The sequence below is a fragment of the Homo sapiens genome, chromosome 17 (assembly GCF_000001405.40).
Source record: "Homo sapiens chromosome 17, GRCh38.p14 Primary Assembly".
NCBI lineage: Eukaryota > Metazoa > Chordata > Mammalia > Primates > Hominidae > Homo > Homo sapiens.
The window spans coordinates 33,728,705-33,749,495 of NC_000017.11; the positions used below are offsets into that span (position 1 = coordinate 33,728,705).

General features: G+C 43.1%; 1 protein-coding gene across 1 annotated transcript in view, besides 1 other annotated feature; it reads right to left on the bottom strand.

The window, feature by feature from the left end:
* Positions 1–20,791, bottom strand: part of ASIC2 (acid sensing ion channel subunit 2) — a 1,143,682-nt gene that overhangs the window by 715,618 nt on the left and 407,273 nt on the right. The window lies entirely within an intron of this gene.
* Positions 3,533–3,733: a silencer, noted in NCBI's record as "peak2804 fragment used in MPRA reporter construct". NCBI's record gives its function as "represses an SCP1 promoter by STARR-seq MPRAs in K562 erythroleukemia cells {active_cell/tissue: K562}" and the evidence as "EXISTENCE:reporter gene assay evidence [ECO:0000049][PMID:32103011]".

The following is a 20,791-nucleotide window of genomic DNA, read 5'->3' on the forward strand; positions in this document are numbered from 1 at the left end:
AGTTATAGCTGTAGAGATGTGAATTATGGGAGGGAATGAGTTGTCAGAGTAGATTGAGTTGGGAAGGCAGAGGAAGAGTTATCCATGAGCCGGGCCAACCAGAGCTGCAGCGCCTATGCCCAACAGCATCCGTATCTACAGAGGAGCCAGGGAGGGTCATGTTGTGGGTGCATCCAAATTGTTAATGACTGCAAATGTAGCACTCTCAACAGCAGGGTACACATCTGCACCCTGGCACTCCCAGTCTTTGCTGGGCCCCATCACCCCCGACAACATAATCAAATTGCACAGATTCAAGTTCATTGGTCTCAATCCAGAGAAATGGAAGAAAAGGAAAATCACCTGCATTAGTCAATTTTTGTGTCACTATGAAGAAATACCTGAGGTTGGGTAATCTATAAAGAAAGAAGTTTAATTGGCTTATGGCTCTGCAGAGTGTACAGGAAGTGTGGTGCCAGCGTCTGCTTCTAGGGAGGTCTCTCAGGAAGCTTGCAATCCTGGCAGAAGGAGAAGGGGGAGCAGATGCATCCCTTTTGAAAGAGGGAGCAAGAGAGAGAGCAGGAAGGTGCCACACTTTTTTAAACAACCAGATCTTGTGGAAACTCAGAGCGAGAACTCATTCATTACCTCTAGGATGGCACCAAGCTGGTGCCTTCCATAAAGTACTACCCCCATGATCCAAACACCTCCCCACCAGAACCCACCTCCAACACTGGGGATTACATTTTGACATGAGATCTGGAGGGGACAAATACCCAAACTATATCATTACCCCGTGTTGGATTGTTAGGTTAGTATACTCCCAGTGAGATTCTGGAGTCTTCTAAGTGGTTAATGTAAAAGGAAGTCCAAGGTAACTGTTATACCCACAGAGTCCAGAGCCAGATTCTAGAGGGCTGAATTTGGGGTCACTTTCCAAACAATGTGATCTGGGCAAATTCCTTAAACTGCTTTTGCTTTAAATTCCCCATCCATAAAATGAGACTAACAAAACAACCCTCACAGGGTTGCAGTGAGAAGTCAATGAGTTTATCTGTGTAAAGCGCCTGGGATAATGCCTGGTGTTTTGGGAGTGTTGACATATTAATGATCCTTAACACCTCAGTAGTATTATTCTAGTTTCATATGTAAGCAAACTGAGACTCAATGAAGTTAAGAAGTTAACCCTAATTATTCAGCTGGTTCTTTTCAAAAACATTGCTAAATGCTTACCTTATACTTGCTAGAAAAAAGCAAAGCTGGCATTTAAACGGAGAGTCCATGATCTTCCCACACCTCACTGCCTCACGCTAGCAAGATGTCTGGGATATTTCATTTTAATTATTTTATTATATTAAGGGACATTCGGTGCTTTCGGGTGATCTAACAAAGTTTCAAATACAGGTTCAGCAGGGAAGGGCTTTATGAATTCAGAAGAATGACTTTTAATTAGCCCCTGTATAGTTTACCTGTGAATGGATAACTAAAAAAGTGTAAAAAAAAATGCTTTCCTACCTTTTTTGGTTAAATATTTCCTTTGAAACTGAGTCTCTTCTTTTAATTTGCTTAATGGACTCCTGCCTTTGATTCTGAGCACAGGGAGAGGTAAATCAGAACAGGCATTGCTCCAGAGACTACAGATCTCACATTCCTGGGATGACAGTGAGGTCTCACTAATGAGGACTAATTGCGGGAGGAGAAGGGCGAGTTACTGAGAAGTCAGAACAGAAAATCTTCTGCACCACTTTGTCATTTTGAAATCACACAATAATTCAAACCTGGCTCATACAACTCATTCATCCATTTATTCATTCAACAGTCCTTAGGCTTCAGGAATAGATATGAGTGATCTAAAATTAACATATTGACTACTTGAATATAAATGAACCATTCTAAAGTGCTTGATGGGGCTGGAAAAATGAGCTCTTCTAGATGTTTGAAATAGTTCTCTCCTAAGTCTTGCTTACTTTGTTAAACTGTTTTACAAACTCTTTCTTGAGACGCTTCAAGGAGAACTTCAACTTGGATTTGAACTCAGTTCTCTGTGTCTCCAAAGTTCACTATTTTCCCCTTTTCTTTATCTGTGTGTATCTTGCACAAAGTAGGTGTCTATGTGGTTACTGTTGATTGAGGGACACTCAGAGATTAAGAAATGTGGACCAAATATCAAAGCTGAAAGATATATCCCCCCTGTTTCCTTTCAGAGACCTGAAATTGATCCTACTCTTCTGTGGATGGTGTCTGTTCACAGTGGTGGCAATGAGGGCAGGTTCCTGGATCTTGGGCATTTATCTTGTTTCTACAACACTCTCCTCTCCCTGCACCTACACTGCACCTACTCCACCTCAGAATGGATGCTCGGATGCCCCATGGAAGTGGGCTGAGGGAGTGAATGAGTGAATGGATGAGGGTATGAATAAATGAACTCATAGCATGAGGGCACAGGCACCCTGTTTATATTCTCACACCTCAAGGGACCATCTTTGATGCTTCAGGTGTGGGGAAATGTTTAGCAGAGATTTACTGGGGAGTCACAAAACCACTTGTTGCTCCTTTGTCAGGTGTTTTTTGGGAAGTAGACATTTGAAGTTCCTGGGATCTCTTGCTTTAGGACAGACATTGCCATAGGAGTGCTATATTTTAGGGGGGAGGTCAGAACATCATTTGGAGCCCTTGCATTAGAACAGAATTGAATGTTGGAGGGAGACGTGAGTAGCAGAAAAGGTAGAAAAACAGAGTTTGGGACAAATTCATTGAGAGTCAGAGTTTGGAAAGTTTGAATCAAATGTCTTTCACCTAAGGTCCATAAAGAAATCTCCCTGCTGCCTCCATCTATGCTAGAGTTCTGCTGGGACTAATCAATAAGTAATTAGAAAGAGCTAGGAATTTAATATACAGAGAGATTGATGGGAGGAGTCTATACAGTGGTAAATGAAACACTAAACCCCCTTGGGACTTTGGGGGAAAGTTCCTGAGAAAGGCTGAGCTAACTGAAGGTCTTCAGATATTCCTAGCTCATCCCTAAATCATAAGTGTCTCAGCTTAGGCCCTTTCCTCTGCCCTTGGCCACTCCAGGAATCCTGGATAGCTGGATGCAGGTCTATCTCCTCTTCAATGTGCCCACATGGGCCTTTGGGAAGGCTGGCCTCAGAGCAAAGACAGTGTTCAGAACAGCCTATAAAACAAGGATAGTCACAAACTGGGGTGGGGTTGGGGGAGCTGTTGTGATATGTGTACCCAACAGGGGAGGGCTAGATGAACAGAGCACTAGAAGGTGACTTAAAATCAAAGAAAAAAATGATGATTCATAAAATGTATCATGAATGCATGGGGTAAATAACAAAATTGTTGAAAATTTATATAGATGTAATTTGGCCATCTCCACCAAAATTGAAAATACACATATCTTTGATTCAGCAATTCCACTTCTAGGAATTTATCCTACAGATAGGCTCAAACACACATAAAGCAGCAGGTGCATAGGGTTATTCATTGTGGTATTAATTATAAGATCAAAAGTGTGGAAGCAAGCTGAACACATAAAAGGATACAATTAAATACATCGTAGCACATGTGTTCAATGGAAGGCCAGGAAGACCAAAGGAGTCATTCAGACTTTTCTGAATTCTTCCTTCATGTCAGGCGCTGTCCTAGGTGCTGAATATAGAATGGTGATCAAAATAGTCAAAAAATCCCTGCCCTCCAGAACTTACATTTTGGTGGGAGATGCTTCTCTTTATGTATTGATAGAAACTGATCTCTATACCTCCATGTTCTTTTGTTACATAAAAAGAGTAAGATGCAGGCGCTAAGGAAATTCTTTTTTTTTTTTTTTTTTTAAGACGTAATCTTGCTCTATCGCTGGATTGCTGTGGTGCGATCCTGGCTAACTGCAAGCTCCGCCCCCGGATTCATGCCATTCTCCTGCCTCAGCCTCCTGAATTTTTTTTATTTTTTATTTTTTATTTTTTGAGACAGAGTCTTGCTCTTGTTGCCCAGGCTGGAGTGCAGTGGTGAGATCTCAGCTCACTGCAACCTCTGCCTCCTGGGTTCAAGTGATTCTCCTGCCTCAGCCTTCTGAGTAGCTGGGACTACAGGTGTGCACCACCAAGCCTGGCTAATATTTGTAATTTTAGTAGAGACAGGGTTTCACCATGTTGGCCAGGCTGGCCCCAAACTCCTGACCTCAAGTGATCCGCCCACCTTGGCCTCTCAAAATGTTGGGATTATAGGCGTGTGCCACCATGCCCAGCCCCCTAATGTCAATGTTGATGTTTGCATTAAGTATCTTTGAAAGGACACACAAGAAATTTATAGCATGGCATCCTCTGGCTAGAGGACAGGAGATGTTCCCTGTTTACTCTTTGGTATCCTTTGATTGTTGAGCCACTTGGAGGTTATTTATTTTTTTAAAAAAACTTTAATTTGTTTATTAAAAGATAGATAGAATATAATTATTGGCCCTAACCCTGTCCCCTCACTTCTGACTCCAACCTCTGCAGGAAAGAAAAGGGTCCAGTGCAAGAGAGACGGATGCTCCAGAGGATCTTCTTGTCAGAAGAGGGAACTCCTAACTAAAAGCCTGGCTAATATTTGCCTTAGCCTTAGAGAGCTGTATTTGCACGGGTTCCTAATGGTATCTGGTGAAGCCCCCATCAGTCCTTTCTCCCTGTGTGTGTGTTGATAACCAATCAACCTTGTTTGCCTAGGACTTTCTTCATTTTAGTACTACAAGTTCCATGTCCTGAAAAACCCTCAGTCCTGGACAACTAGGAGAGTTGATCTCCCTGAAAGGGAGGAGACGGAGAGGGTGAGGGAGAGAAGATGGAGACCTCAATCATGTGCATACATTCCTCTCTGAGTTTCTTACCTCCCTGGCACTTATATTCTAAAGTCCCCAGAACATGGCTCTTCTACTGATTAGATACATGACTTATCTCTCTGAGCCTCAGTTTATTTATCAACAAAAGGGGCTAATTATCTTCCCTGCCTGCCACTGCTAAGAAATTAATATCCTTTTCCTCTCCCAGCCTCATGTCATCATGGCCCTTCTCATCCTGCCAAGCTTCTGTGGACCATCACAGTAGTTACCCTCGCTCCCGTTCAGATAGTTGTCTGGCTAAATCCCGACCTGGCTAGATACAGTTATTGTCCTACTCTTTCCCTGAACCTGAGAAGAGGATGCAGTTGGAGAAAACTACACTCTTAGGCTGATGGGTCTCACTTTAAATTGTGACCACAAGTGACTGGAGGGCCCTTGGCACTGCTGAACAACACTGGTATTTCCCAGATCTCATGACTACTTCACACCCTTTCCCCTCCCCCTAGGCCTCTGCAAAGCAGTCTTAGTTGAGAGCCCTGAATCTGATTTCACTGAGAAAATAGAAGCAATCAGAAGAAAAATATGTCATCTCCCCCCTACCCCACAGGCACAGCCTGCATCTGCGCCAGGCTCTCTGCCTTCCCTCATGTGCTCCCATCTGAGGCCAGCCCTTCCTCCAGTGCTCCCGTGTGAGGCCAGCCCTTCCTCCCATGCTCCCGTCCAAGACTAGCCCTTCCCTCCTGTGTTCCTGTGTGTGGCCAGCCCTTCTTCCCTTGCATCCGTGAGAGGCCAGCCTTTCCTCCCCTGTGAGGCCAGCCCTTCCCCCCGGGCTCCCACGTGAGGTCGAACCTTCCTCCCGTGCTCTGTCTTCCACTTTTCTTACCAGCTCCACACCATGGTCCCTGTGATAGTCATTTCTCTCTCTGTATTATCCCTCACTGCCCCTCATGTCCTTCCCACACCACCCGCACTTCTGGATTGCTGCCAACTGTTTACAGAGAAGCTGTCAATCTCATCTCATTTCCTACCTACCCCTCTTCCTTCACTCACTACTAAATTGTGTTCCCCACAAATGTGTATGTTGAAGCCCTCACCCCCATTGTGACTGTATTTGGAAACAGAACCTTTAGGGTTGTAATTAAGGTTAAATGAGGTTGTAAGGATGGGACCCCAATCCAATAAGACTGGTGCCCTTATAAGAAGAGGAAGAGACACCAGAGTGCATCTTTCTCTGTGCACACAGAGAAAAGACCATTTGAGGGCACAGTGAAGAACTGCTCTGCCAGCCAAGGAGAGAGGTCTCACCCAAAACCAACCCTGCTTGCACATTCATTTTAGACTTCCAGTCTCCAGAACTATGAGAAAATAAATTTCTGTTGTTTAACCCATCCACTTTGTGGTCTTGTATTATGGCAACTCAAGTAGAGAATACACTTACTGTGTTCTGGCCACACTGACTTTCTTGCTATTTCTCAAAAATTCCAAGCATGTTCCAGTTCAGAGACTGCACTTCGCTGTTGCTGTTGTTTGGAATGCTCTTCTCTGAGATCCCTGTATGATTCTCTCCTCTTACTCAATCTCAGATCCTGTAGCAGTTTCTGTGACTGTCATATCTAAAATAGTGCCCCGTGCCCAAACTCTTCACCCTCATACTCTGTCTTATTTTTCTTTCTACTGCTTGCCTCTGCCTGCCATTGTGTTTGCTTATTTTCTATCTTCCTCACTTGGACAAGAGCCCCTCCATGGAGAAAGTTTGTTCCCTGCTCTAGTCCTTGTGTGGGAAACAGAGTCTGGCCATGGCAGGTGCTTGGTGAGCCTTTCTTGAATGCATAAGTGGGCAGTGTGAAGGGCTCCGTGCTTTTCCTGGTACAGGCCATTAGGAAAGGTTCACTGTATTATTCCTGACTGTTCTTCTGGGTAGTGACCAAAGAAAATGCCCTGGGTGACTTCAGACATAGCAGGTTCCTTTAGAATGGAATCAAGGAAAAATACATATGTTAGAGGTAGAGAAATGAGAGGGAGCCATAGCTTGGAGTCACATAGTGTGGGTGGAGGGTTGGCTGGGAAGTGTCATAGTTTTGGTCTTAATCAGGCAAAGACCCAGCAGACCTTAGAGAATTGTATTTGCAAGGGTTCCTAATGGTGTCTGGTGAAGCCCCATCAGAGAGCCAAATCCCTTTCACAAAGTCCTCAACAGCGGCTACCCACCTCCATTGAGCACTCCCTGGGATCACTCACTGTGCTCCAGGGTGTGAATCAATTCTAATGATTAGAAGGGTCTCCCTCCCTTCTAACTGCTGCTGTGTCCCAGTTCTGCTCTCAAGAGCCACAGTCAACAAGCCTTATTTTTCTTCCACTGGAAACTTCACCATTCTTGTTTCGTCTCTAAGCTCAAGATCTCTGTTTTCAAATTTTCCTTTGGCATGAATGAATGAGTGAGTGAATAAATAAATGAACGGCTTCAAGATCCTCACAGTCCCAGTCACCCTCCTGGTCTCTGCTTGTTCAGTGACTTCACTTTGAAGTGTGTTGTCCAGAACATTTCTTGGAATTCTTGAATCTTTAGTGCTTGATACAAGCAAAATAATAAAGGTAAGAAAATAGTGCTCAATAAATATTTGCTGGCTGAATAAATAGACAAAACCCTGTCTCAACGGGTCTGCTGGGCTGGGGCTATAAAGAGGCCACCTGGGGAATTTATTTTTCCTCCCACAATGAGAGAAAAGATTATGAAATAGGAAATCATCCTGCCATTGCTGAGGAAAGTGGGGTCTTGGTGGGTCAGCACAGTGCCCGAGGCAGCGATAAAAGCTCAGCCTGCTAATAATTCCTACTCTATGAATTTATGAAAATCCCATATTTTATCATGCAGACATTTTGGAAGGGAAATACATTTTCTATTACCACTGGCCTTTTCTACACTCAAGCCACTGTATCTGCTGCTGAAGGCAAGACAGCCCCCTGCCTCAGTGTCTCCCGCCAGCCTATGGAGACCGTGAAGATCCCAGGCATCTGTTTCCTGTGAGGCAGAAGATTGTAGTTGGCTCACTAGACCAGCTATGCCTCTGTGATGATTCACTGACTCTTTTTGTTTTAAGTTTTTTTTCAATTACAAAAGCAATATAAGCTTATAAAAAGTCAAATAATGGAGAATTATATAAAGAAACATTTAATTGTCTTCTTATTTTTCCTATCAATTGTACCCTCCTCTCCGAGATCATTAGGGAGTGACCTTTCACACTTTCCCTATACTTACATAGACCATATATGGAAACATGTACAACTGTGCCCCAGTTTTTGAAGTCCCAAATCAAATCATACCATGTACTTTACACGGAAACGTGCTTTTATTCACAAAGACATATATCATGGGCATGTTTTTGGCCAATTGCATATGGATCTAAATAATGTGGTCTCTTTTTTTAACAGCTTTATCGAGGTGTAACTGAGATACAGTAAGCTGCACATATTTAAAGCATATGCTATGATATATTTTGGCACCTGTAACACTGTCTTTTTAGTGCTGCATCATATTTTATTGTTTGGAGACACCACAATCTATTCATCTATTCCTGTATTGGTAGACACTGACATTGTTTCCAAGTTTTTGCTAATACAAAAATGCTGCAACTCCCCCTGCTCCACGCCTCCACATTTATTTTACCCTTATAAACTGAGGCTTTGTTTTTATGGGGTAGGTTACTATCAGTAGGATTGCTGATCAAAAAATAGACTCATTTTACATTTTAATCATCAGTCTCATCAGATTGTTTTCCAAGCCACAGCCTTAGCTATTACGAACAAGAGGTGTCCCTGGTTTGTTCTGTTGAATCCAGGACCATGACCTCAAACCATGCTGTGACTCCCTAAATATACATGTCTCTGCTCCAACATTCTTTGTAGGACCTCCTGTCTCTTTCCTGAATGGGATATCTTGGGAATGGTTTGGCTTGCTTCCTCACATTTGAACGGATTAGAAATATTTTTAATCTGGTTTAAATCTCAATCTAGTTCACTGCTAATTGTAAACTGAGACCGCTTATAGGTTTATTTAACTTCTTTGAACTTCAGATTCCTCATTTAAAATGGAGACATAAAGAGTGCTGCACTTATTGGGTTGTGAGGATTAAGAGAGCACCAATGTGTAAAATACCCCTAACAGTACATGGAATTTAGTATTTGCTCAAAAAATGGCAGCCATCCTTATTGAGTAGATTCCTGAACTAACAGGAAAGCGTCCACCTGCATATAATATCCATTCCACCCAAGTCAAGGAAGAGACAGTTTACTTTGAATATGCACAAAAGCCCCAATTAGACTTAAAAGTAACTTGTGAGTAGGAATTTGCAAACTCTTCAGACTGCAATCCAGTTGGATATGGCAAATGACCCCAACTCTTCTACTCATTCCAACTTTCCAGAGAAGGAAAAACCCAACTTGGTAAACAAAAAAATAAATAAATAAAAATAAAATGAACAAAATAAGGAATATGGAACTAAATTGCTGGTAAGATTTAATAGCTCACTGGTTCAGTTACTGGTCATGGCAATTAGTATATAAAAGTAGGTGTCTAAGAAATTGAGATCATTAGCCTGTAAGACCAAAGGCTTGCATTTTGTGACACACCAGCTCTTCTCAGGCCACTGGCATCATGAGGACCTCACTTCTTCATTGAGAGAACATCTGGTCCATATTGCCACCCAAAGCAGGAGCCCCTGTTTTGTCCATTTGGCCTCTTCTTAGATGTGGTTGATGATGGAGAGCTCACCACCCCATTAGAAAGCTGTTGGATGACTTGAATCATTAGACAACTTTACATGGTGCTTGTCATCCTTCCCCCAGACCTTCAGGATCCCCTTTTATTTTCATATGCTTCCAAAAGTCAGCACCTGCATTTTCTGGTCTGCCTCTGGGCTGCCAGAACCTAATTTGTTCACCAATATACATGCACCAGCCTATAAATACCCTGATCCTTACCCTCAGGTGGGATAATTCTGGGGGATTGCGTTTTACACCACCAATGAGTCTCCCTGAGCCAATAAGCTTCAGTTTCCCCCAGTGGTAGCTGGCTTAATATCTAACTCCTTCTTACTGCCTTCCCTCCTCTGTGTCAGTGCCCCACCCTACTTCTACTATCCCCACATCTACCAATTGACCTACTTGCACTCAATCCTTGTTTCTGACCTGCTCCTAGGGTGGGGACGTATAGGCAGATCCAACTAAAACAATGCCCAAATCTTATCTGTGACTTACACCAACTGGCTCTGGTTCTTCTGGGCTCTCCCGCTAGAACAAGGTGTATCAAGTCTTTGTGTGGCTTAGGTGGCTTAAGTCAGCTCTCAGGTTTTCCTTTTCCCTAAGGTGAACATCTCCATTTCCTTGATTCATTGCTCCCACCCTAGGAAGCTTTGACCCAGTCTTGGAATGTTACTAAAGTTTCCAAGGAAGAAAAGACCAAAAGCATTATTTAACCACGATGATTCTTTTGTCCTGGTTTGCCCATGTTTAAGGTAAGAATAACAGCCCCAGTTCTGGCAGAAAGCTGTAAGGTTGACAAAATGGCAGTGCTGTGGTGATGCATTCAAAGAGAAAATTACTTCTAAGATGCAATGCTCTATGTTTCAAGATGAAGAACCAGGGTGCTCAAAATGTTAGACAAATGTCAAAGTTTATATGACAAATGAATAAATAGAGATTGAAATCTGTGTCAGGCAAGAACTGTCCCCACATTAGTGATTCTATGTGCCTATTCCCAAAGTGATCCATGGGTCAAACCAAAAAGAGGGGATTTGAGTCCATCAGAATCATTCAAAGGGTGGAGGGAAGAGCATGGGATTTGAAGCCAAGACAAGCTGCATTCAGGTCTCAGCTCTGTCACTGTTATGTGTGACCTTAGACAGATCTCCTAAGCCTCCACCAATAAATTTGTAGCAGGCCCTTGACAAGAATGTGATGTAATAAATTAAAAACAATTAGCAATGGTGAAGCAGACAGTAAATGATAGCCAGTGGAGCTGCAGTTGCAGAAATATTATTCTGTGAAGGTGCAGTGAATTCCAGTCTTCTAAGCTGTGCTCTAAGCTTCAGCACAGGTGTCTGAATAAAAGCTGCACTTGGCCTCTCACTGAGAGCTCCTGAGAAGTATCTGGTGAGTATCACTGTGGTAGACATTGAAGGGGCTACCAAAATCACCAGAACCCCAGGCTAGGAGAGGGGATAAAACATGTGTGTTATAACCACATTAACAGGAGAGAAAATGGAGGAGAGAAAGAAAAGAAACAAAAGAAAGAAGAAAGAAAGAAAGAAAGAGAGAAAGAAAGAAAGAAAAAGAAAGAGAAAGAAAAAAGAGAAAGAAAAAAAGAAGGAAGGAAAAAAGAAAAGGAAAGAAAAGAAAAAAGAGAAAGAAAGAAAAGAAAAAAGAAAGAAAAAAGAGAAAGAAAGAAAAGAAAAAAGAGAAAGAAAAGAAGAAAGAAAGAAAGAAAAAAGAAAGAAAGAAAAATAAAGAAAGAGAGAGAGAAAGAAAGAAAAAAAAGAACAGAGGGAGAGTCAGGTAAGAGCCTTGGGAGCCCAGAGGCAGAAAGGAGAGCCAGGGTTATTCAAAGTCATAGCCAAGTACAATATATGCCTTGAAGAATGAACTAGAATAAGTAGAGACAGGAGAGCAAAGTAGGTTTATGGCAGATGAAGCACTGCCACTCAAGGGCCCAAATATTATGATATATAGTTTGGGTACAGCAAGGGCTATGTATTAGTGCGTTCTCACACTGCTATAAAGGACTGCCAGAAACTGGGTAATCTATAAAGGAAAGAGGTTCAATTGACTCACAATTTCACATGGCTGGGAGGCCTCGGGAAACTTACAATCATGGCAGATGGGGAAGCAAACATGTTCTTCTTCATATGGCAGCAGGAAGAAAAAGTGCTGAGCAAAAAGGGGAAAAGCCTCTTATAAAACTGTCAGATCTCGTGAGAGCTCACTATCATGAGAACAGCAGCATGGGGGTAACCAGTCCCATGATTCAATTACCTCCCACCGGATCCCTACCATGACACTTGGGGATTATGCGAGCTACAATTCAAGATGAGATTTGGGTGCGGACACAGCCAAACCACATCAGCTAGTAGCAAGGAACATAGACATCAGATGGGAAAGGTTGGCTGGAAACAGACCTTCTCCTCCTCCTTCAGGGCTGGATGAGGATGAGATACTACACACAGTGCATTCCAAGAACACCTTTAAATTAACTCACCAGTTCTCCCTCAGAGATTCAGCTGCATATGCCTTAGCCACTACTATGGGTTGTGGGGTATGGTTCTGGGACCAGATGGGCTTGGCTATATAGGAAAATGAATCTAGGACTCTGCTAGAGTCTCTAAAAATATAGCTGCTATTGTCCCTTCAACAGGGTTATAGTAAGGGGCAAGGAAATTCACATTCTGCTGTTTGAATTTAGATCCCTTCAACACCTTAAGAGACTCTCTCGGCTATTACCTCCTCCAGTATACCTAGCCAGCCCTGTGTGCAGACTGCCAGGGAAGGTGCTTGCTCAGGTAGACCCAGAAAGCCTTGGGAGTGCACGGAGCTGTCGAAGGGGCTTCTAGGCAGGTCAAGGGCATCAGGGAGAGGCACAGAGAGTGACTGCCCAGGGTCTTCAGACCCTTAAGTTGCTTTTATTTTTTTCACTATGTTTTCTGGTACCCCTTGTTATGCCAAGATGCACCAGTAGGTTGGAAAGCATGTCTTCCTGGAATCAGTATATTTGGTTTGATTTTTAGTTCCTCTTCTGAATTGCTGCATGTCACTGACTATCTCTGGGCACTTTGTTCCTCATCTGTGATGTGAGAATTTCAATACCCATTATGCCTGCTACACAGGACTGATAGGAAGATCTAACTGGATGAAAGAGGCAAAGGCTATGTGGACACTAAAATGCTTTACTTTTTACATGCGTGAGCCTGCTCTTTGGGCCTCTTCCCTGCTGGACTGCAGAAGTCAATGGAGGCAGATTCAAAACTCAACACCCTGGAGATTCCAAGGGGGCATAAAGATAAAACAGTAGTGATGCTGGGGTGATGAAGAGTCTCCTGGACCCTGGGCAGGCACCAAGCATTATCTCCAGGCATGCTGGTAGTCAGAGTTATCCATCTCAGCTTCTAAAATGTTTGTGTTTGCCACTGATAATGCTGACAGTGACAGACAATGCAGTTTTCTCCTGCTCTACTCAGACATAATCACCATGAGCCCAGCCCCAGCACCAGCCTACCCATGCTCAGGCAGGCTATGGCATTGATTCTTGCTGACATTCAGATAGCCCCTGAGGCCACCATGCCTAGATGCCCTGCCAGAGTTTGGAACAGAGGATGTCTGCGGCAGATCCTGATGGACAGAATTAGGCTAAGTGAGAATTCTTAGCTTAGTGGCCTAGCAGTGGGGAGCTCATGGAATGAGTTCTGTTATTCCTACCATGAGGAAAGGCCAGTGGTCAAAGGTCTAGGCCTGGCCGGACACTGAGGCCATTCAGGTGCCAGATGATCACCAGAAACTTTAGGAGAAATGGGGCCTGCATATAGTCCTTGCTTGAGCATGGCCAGAGAAGATGTGAAGGCCAGTTTCTGGCCAGGTTGTTCCAGTTGTTCATATCGATCTGGATATGAGAAAGCAAGAATGGAACATGACCCATCTACTGTACTTGCATAGACTGATTGCTGCCCACGCCCCATTTGTTTCCAGTGCTCCAGCCACAAGGGCACTCTTGCAGCCCCCTACTGTGCTGTGGTCATTAAGCCTCTCTAACCACAAGCTATTCCCACTACCTACAATGCCACCTCCCTCTCATTTTTTTTCTAAAGCTGGCTGGCTGACTTCTACTTATCCTTAAGTTGAAGCACATTTTTTTGATCCCCACTCCCCAACTGGAAAAGCACTGTGTTCGCTCTTGCTGGCCTTATAGTGTATTAGAATTGGCTTGTGGACATTTTGTGCTCCTCTAGAGAGGAGTGACAGAGTCATACTTAACTTAGTGTCTTCTATAATGTGGATGCACAGAGTAAATCTCAATAAAGATCTGATGGGCAGGTAGACAAATGAATGGATAAATTTACGGAACAATGCAGGAAAAAACTCCAGCATAATGACATCACATGGAACACTCCTTGGAGATTTGCAGCTGGGAAATGGGTGGCGTGGCCCAGAACATAGCTCTCCCCAGGCATAATGGGTTCTGATGTTCATTGGTCACAACTGAAGACACTGGAAACTGCTTTTGACCAGATGGTGATGTAAATCACCCTGTCTACCACTGCCTCACGTCCCTGGCACACGCACCGTTCCTGGGTGCAGGGTGGCATGATCCATGCTGAATCCTGCTGGCTCTCTGGGCCTGGCCGAGATAAACATTTGGTACTGATGCTGATTCCCCAGCAGCCTTCTGATGAAAATGAGATTCTACGTATTTTTCCAGTTCCTGTTGGTAAGTCCTAGTAACTTGCCTATCTCCTGTCACTGGCGTGTGCTTTCCAGCCCTTGCCTCCTCTACCCTTTATCTTCCTAATGGGTTCAGTCACAAACCTCTCCCTGCTCTTGCAAATAATCCTGGACTTAGGAATTTCATGCTGGCATGAGGGGCTCTGTTGGTCTACTTCTCAGCAAAACAAGCAACACTGGTGAAACTACTTTTAAAAAAATCCAAATTATTTAAAGTCTCTGGAAATTGTTCTAAAGGCATACAGCAAAGATAGAAACATTCATAAAAATCTACTATAATGTGGTGAGAACAATGAGGGACTGTGGCACTTGAGCCACAACTTGCTCCCTATCTTCCACCCACTACCCAGTTCAGCTTGATGGAAGCTCCATCATGTGTGGGTGTGGCTAAGAAGACAGGGCTTCCTCTCCCCTCAGTTCCCAAGCTAGGGTTACCACATGTGATAGTTAATTTTATGTGTCAACTTGGATGGGCCATTGGCCCAGGTATGTGTTAAAGCATTATTCTGGATGTTTCTATGAGGATATTTTTGGATATTAACATTTAAATTGGTAGAGTTTGGGTAAAACAGATTTCCCTCCATAATACAGGTGAGCCTCCTCTGACCAGTTATGGCCTAAATAGGACACATGATTGATCTCCTGATTTTCCCTAAGCCAGAGAGAATTCTGCAACAGACAGCATTTGGATTTCAATCACAACACGAGCTCTTTCCTGGGATTCAGCCTGATGGCCTTTGGACTTGAACTATAGCATCAGTTCTCTTCTGCATCTCCAGACTGCTGGCCAACCCTGCAGATTTTGGAATTGCCAGCCTCCATACTCACGTAATCCAATTATTTAAAATTAATCTCTCTCTCTCCCTTCCCCCTGTCTCTGCCTATAGGACAGTCTTTGCCCCAAGTACAACAGGCTGTGAATACTGGAGCCCTAAATTACTCTGACTCCAGATCTTTCGTAGGACATGCTGGAAGAAACAAGCTAATCAGAGGCTAGCACTCTGCCCAGTGCCCAGAGTAATGGCTCAGAGATTTTGCCTAGCCAGTCTCTAAGGAGAGAGACTGCCAAAGCTCCCCTTAAAGGAACTGACTTTGTTTGAAACAGAACATGGGGAAGTTCAAGCCTAAGGGTGTATTCAGAAAAAATAACTCCTCTTATTAAGAGCAATGAGTCCAGTTAGTTCACTAGAAAGAACCAGAGAAACAGACTGCTAAGAAACACCCTGCTAGGGTCAGAGCAAACCTCAAAGACTGGTCTCAAAAACTACCCCTTTTCCAATTTAAATGGACCAAACTGCTGAGCAATTTATGTCTTAAGGTGTTGTTGAAAACAGCAAAGCAAGCATCTAGTAATTAGTGGAAGTTAAAGACTGGGTGTAATACCAAATCAGGAAGATAGTTTAACAGACAGATTAGTAAACAAGCATCCAAAGAGAGCTCTGCTAAAACTACTGCTATCCTAGGTGAGCACTGAGGAGCAAGCAACACCAAAGGCTTAACACTGCATGGGGAATAGACTTAGCTAAAATATCCCAGCCAAGTCACAAAACAAATAAATAATAAAACAAGAAACACAAGAGCTGGAGTTGTGGGAGGGAAATCAGTATCCAGAATTGCTATAATGTATTACCTAAAGCATCCATTTTTCAACACAAAATTATGATATATAAAGAAACAAAAATGTGTGACCCATATACAAGAAAAAAAGCAGGCAACAAAACTGCCTGTGAAGGGAACCAGATGTCAGATTTGACAAAGACATCAAAGTAGACATTATACATACGTTCAAATAACCAGAGGAAAGCGTGCTTAAATAAGTAAAGAAATAGCTCATCAAATGGAATATATCCAAAAACTGGCAGAAATTATAAAAAAAGAAACAAGTGGAAATTCTGGAGTTGAAAACCAAATCAACGAACATGAAAAATTATTAGCAAGGCTCAGCAGTAGATTTGAATGGGCAGAAAAAAGAATCAGTAAATTTGAGGATAGATCAACAGAGATTATTCAATCCAAAGAACAGAGAGAAAATAAAATAAAGAAAAATTAGCAGAGCCTCAGAGAAATGTGCGATACATTTAAGTGTACCAAAATAAATTTCACAAAAATCTACTAAAATATGGTAATAACATGAGGGCCTTTGGCACTTGAGCCACAACTTGCTCCCTATCTTTCCCCTCCCACCCCCAGTTCCGCCTGATGAAAGGGCCAGCAGGCTGAAGACCCAGAGGAGAGCTGATACTACAGTTCAAGTCCAAAGGTCACCAGGCTGAAGACCCAGGAAACAGCTGATGTGGTTTAAGTCCAAATGCCGTGTGCTGCAGAATTCTCTCTGGGTTGGGGGAGGTCAAAATGTAAAAAGAGATAGGAGCAGAAAAATATCACAAGAAATAATGGCTGAAAAACCCCAAATTTACTGAAAAAAAAAAATCAATTTACATATCCAAGAATCTCTACAAACTCCAAGTAGGATAAATGCAAAGAGCTCCACACCCAGATACAGTAAAAATGCTGAAAGTCAAAGTCAAAAAAAAAAAAAATCTTAAAAGCAGAAAGAGAAAAATGACTCATCACATAAAAGGGAAACCCAATAAGATTAACCATTGAATTCTTACCAGAAACAATGTAAGTCAGAAAGCAGTGGGATGACATACTCAAAGTGCAGAAAAAAGAAAAAAAAAATCTTTTAACTGAGAATCTAATGCCCAGAAAAACTATCTTTCAAAAATGAAGGTAAAATAAAGGCATTTTCTGATAAATAAAAATTGAGAGAATTCATTGCTGAACTTACCTTATGGAAAATACTAAAGGAAGTGCTTCATGTTGAAAGTAAATAAGCCTAGATGGAAATTTGAATCCACATGATAAAAACAAAGAGCACAAGCAAAGGTAACTATATAATTATAAAATAAAGTATAAATGCACGTTTCTTCTTTCTTCTCTTAACTGATTTAAAAACAAATTGTATAAAACAATATGTATATAATTGCATTGTTGCACCTGTAATACACAGAAATATAATATATTTAACAATAACCACACAGAAAAGGTAGACAGGAGCAAAATCATATTGGAGTAAAGAAATGATAACAGATGGTAATTTGAATTCACAGAAACAAGTGGAAATTCTGGAGTTGAAAACCAAATCAATGAAAATGAAAAAGAGAATATGAAGACAAACAAATGATAAATTAAAGGTAAATATAACAAATTCTATAAATGTATACATGTCTTCCTTTCTTTTCTTAGCTTTAAATACATATACACATATATGTATATACATACGTGTACATGTATATACATATACACGTATGTATATACATGTACACATATATACATATATGTATATATACATACATGTATCTACCTATATATGTAGATATACATGTATATCTACATATATAGGTAGATACATGTATGTATATCTGTAGATACGTATATGAATATGTATATATGTGTATATATGTGTGTATATGTGTATATGTATGTATATCTACATATATGTATATATACATATATGTGTGTGTATATATGTGTATATATAGTTTTTATACTCATATACCTAATGACAGAGACCTACAATTTATGAAGCAAAATCTGACCACATTGAAGGGAGAAATAGACAGCTGAACAATAATGGTTAGAGGCTTTAATACCACACTTTTAATAATGGATAGAACTCAAGGGAAGATTAACAAAGAAATAAAAGACTTGAACAACACTATACATAAATCAGTCCTAATAGATCTCTACCGAGTACTCAATTACAGCAGAATATACATTTTTCTCAACGTTTTCTCATGGAACATTCTCCATGACAGACCATATATTAGGCCTTGAGACAACACAAAATATATTCACTGATTACAATGGGATGAAATTAGAAATTAATAACAGAAAGAAATTTGGCAATTTCACAAATATGTAGAAAGTAAGCAATACTCTACTGAAAAATGAATGAATGAGAAAATAAATCACAAGGGGAATTAGAAGAAGACTTTGAGATGAATAAATAAAGACACAAGATACAGACTTGACAACGATGTTCTCCTCTGTGAAACGGGTAACATAATCCCTGTTCAGCCTGTCTTATAGGGTCCTTCTGTAGGTCACATGAATCTATGATTGTGAATGTACTTTGTAGATTGTCTTACAGGTATAAAGTTCTACTATGATGAACTCTCTGCTCTCCTGCAGGGCACGTGACACAAAACCTTGCTCCCATCCAGCCGTCTTTTTTTTTTTTTTTTTTTTTGAGATGGTCTAGCTCTGTGATCCAGGCTGGAGTGCAGTGGCATGATCACGGCTCATTGCAGCTTTGACCTTGTGGGCTTACGTGATCCTCCCACCTCAGTCCCCCAAGTAGCTGGGACTACAGGCATGCACCACCACGCCCAGCTAATTTTTGTATTTTTGGTAGAGATGGGGTTTCATCACTTGCCCAGGCTGGTCTTGAACTCCAGAGCTCAAGTGATCTGCCTGCCTCGGCCTCTCAAAGTGCTGGGATGGCAGGCGTACTCCATTGTGCCTGGCCATCCTTCCCACACTTTACCTGGACCTGGAGATCCGTTGTTTATGCTTTGCTTCTTTTACCTCCAGTTGAGATGAAGATCATGCTACTCTTGCTTCCCACTGCTGCTGTCAGGTCATGCCACCTCTCCCTCAGATTCTCCCCAACTTCCATTTTTCTCCCTATGGACTCCACAGAATGTGAGATTTGCAAGTCCAGAGAGGGAGTGACTTCTCCAAGGCTACAGGCCAAGACAGAGGCAAAGCCTGGACTAAACCTCCCTCCCCTTCTTCCCCAGGTCTGCAGGGTCCTCAGGACACTCCCCTCTGGTCTCTGATGCCTGCCTCTGACAGGCGGGCCTCACCTCAACTCCATCCCCTGACATCATCCCCGCATCTTCAAGTCACTTTAGTTTTAGTGAAAGAAGCCAGTGCTAATTCAGTGTGTAACATGAGCTAGACATTCTGCATTCTCAGGTGGCCCTCAACAACCTCAAGTGGAAGGTACCAGTATCATTTCCATTTCAGAGATGAGGAAGTCAAGGCTTGCGAAGGTTAAGCGACTTGCTAGAGAGCGCACGCCTTGAATGTAACAGAGTTGAGCTTTGAGCCCACTCAATCTAACTGCAAAGCCCACCCTTCTGCCGGCCACACTCTCTGGGCAGTTCCTCTCATCTCTTGCCCTCCTAGCCACCTGCCTCCTTAAGCACCCGCCTCCTGGTGCCTGCTTCCCTGATTCCTTGCAGCTTTCCCTGAGCACTCTTGGGCTTCTCCCATGCAAACTGCCACCTCCCAGGTCTGGAGATGTGGAATCTTGAACCCCAAACTCTGGTCCTTTCACCTCTTCCATCCTTCAGTGCAGGGGCTTGGCCTGCATCCAGAGCAGTTTATGGAAACTCCTTTGGCCTCAGATTTAGCCTCTGCAAGAGGAGACACAGTACAGTCCTTCCTCACAGGGCATTCGGGAGAAAGAAGTCCTGAGAAATAATGGTGCATTATTTAAAAGCAGGGCTTCCTGATAGGAAAGAAAAAACAGAAACCCAGACCCCAATTCACTAACTCATCATGGGTAGGGTGGAAGTGGCAGGATACTGCCCCTCCTGGTCTCTGCCTCCCTGTCTACAAAATGAGATGGCACGGTGGTGGCCTGGGGATTCCTTCCACCTCCCACCTTCTGGGCCACATGAGAATAGAAGCTGCCCTCATGATCTCTGAGCTGCCTTACGGCTCTAGAACTCCAGGATGATAAATATATAAGGCTTCATAATGTCCTTTCTTCCTTCGTGTGCCTCTTAAGTGATTAGTGTAATACTCTGTACACAATAGACTTTTAATTATTATCTGTGGAACGCATGCATGCGAGAGCCACGCAGGAGCTCAAATGGGAAGGAACTGAAGTCCCATGGGACAACAGTCCACGGAAACATCTCCCCAGCCTTCTTTTCAAGGGGAACACAGGACACGTGTCTGCAGCATGGCCCTGGGCTCAGGGGGCCCTCGGCACAGCCTAAGAACACTTGGCTGCCCCTCCAGAGGTGAGAGGAGAGCAAGCTGGCTCCTGCTCTCCTTTCTTCCTTTCCCTCCTGGGCAGGGGAGCAGGAAGGTGAAGCAGCACCACCTAGGAGAGAACCGGGTTGGGGTGCAAGAGCACAGCTTCCTCTGGAGCTCTGGCAGGAAGGGTGGTGTGTGATTCTCCCTCCTGGAGGCCTTTCTGTCATGCATGCTTCAGGACCCTTTCCCTCCCTTTCCCCCTACCCCAGGGAAACAAGACCCCTCTCCTTCTCCAGCTGCTCCCCCAACCCCAAGACCCCATCTTTGCTTGGTAGGACTCACTTCCTCTACTGGGAGGAGAGCGGCGAGGCGTTCTCTCTGTGGAGCACAGGAGTGCTGTCTAAGAGTGCAGGTGGGGGCTCCTCGGACCGTGTGGGAGGGGCGCTTTCACCAGTCCAGCCCCTGTTCCTCTCCTCTACTCCTGTGGGCCTGGGGGTCTCTCACATG